Source organism: Homo sapiens, chromosome 9, assembly GCF_000001405.40.
Source record: "Homo sapiens chromosome 9, GRCh38.p14 Primary Assembly".
Lineage (NCBI taxonomy): Eukaryota > Metazoa > Chordata > Mammalia > Primates > Hominidae > Homo > Homo sapiens.
Genome location: NC_000009.12, coordinates 109631063 through 109631910, shown reverse-complemented (window position 1 = coordinate 109631910; position 848 = coordinate 109631063).

Sequence of the window (848 nt, the reverse complement as noted above, 5' to 3'; positions counted from 1 at the left end):
AGAGCAACTGGTCTGACCAAAATTTATTAGGTGGGAATTTCCTCATCCTAATAAGCCTGGGAGCACTATGGGAGGCTGGGGCTTATTTCATCCCTACAGTCTCAACCGTAGAAGATGGTCACACCCAAGGGGGCCATTTTAGAGGCCCACCCTTAGAGGTGCATTCTCTTTCTCAGGGATGTTCCTTGCAGAGAAAAAGAATTCAGCGATATTTCTCCCATTTGCTTTTGAAAGAAGAGAAATATGGCTCTGTTCCGCCCAGCTCACTGGCGGTCAGAATTTAAGGTTATCTCTTTTGTTCCCTGAACATTGCTGTTATCCTGTTCTTTTTTCAAGGTGCCCAGATTTCATATTGTTCAAACACACATGCTCTACAATTTGTGCAGTTAACGCAATCATCACAGGGTCCTGAGGTGACATACATCCTCCTCAGCTTACAAGATGACAGGATTAAGAGATTAAAGTAAAGACAGGCATAGGAAATCACAAGGGTATTGACTGGGGAAGTGATAAGTGTCCCTGAAATCTTCACAACTTATGTTTAGAGATTGCAGTAAAGACAGGCATCAGAAATTATAAAAATATTAATTTGGGGAACTAATAAATATCCATGAAATCTTCACAATCCACGTTCTTCTGCCATGGCTTCAGCTGGTCCCTCCATTCGGGGTCCCTGACTTCCCACAACAGAGATGGACCTCAAATTTTTTTTGGAAACTCTTTTGAGGAGGATCATATGAAACTTAAAACTCATTTCTCCCTTCTGAGAGTGGAAAATTGGGGTTTATTCCTGAGGCAGAATGTTATCTAGCCCTTGGAAAAATGTGAGTGGAACATCTTCTACAAAT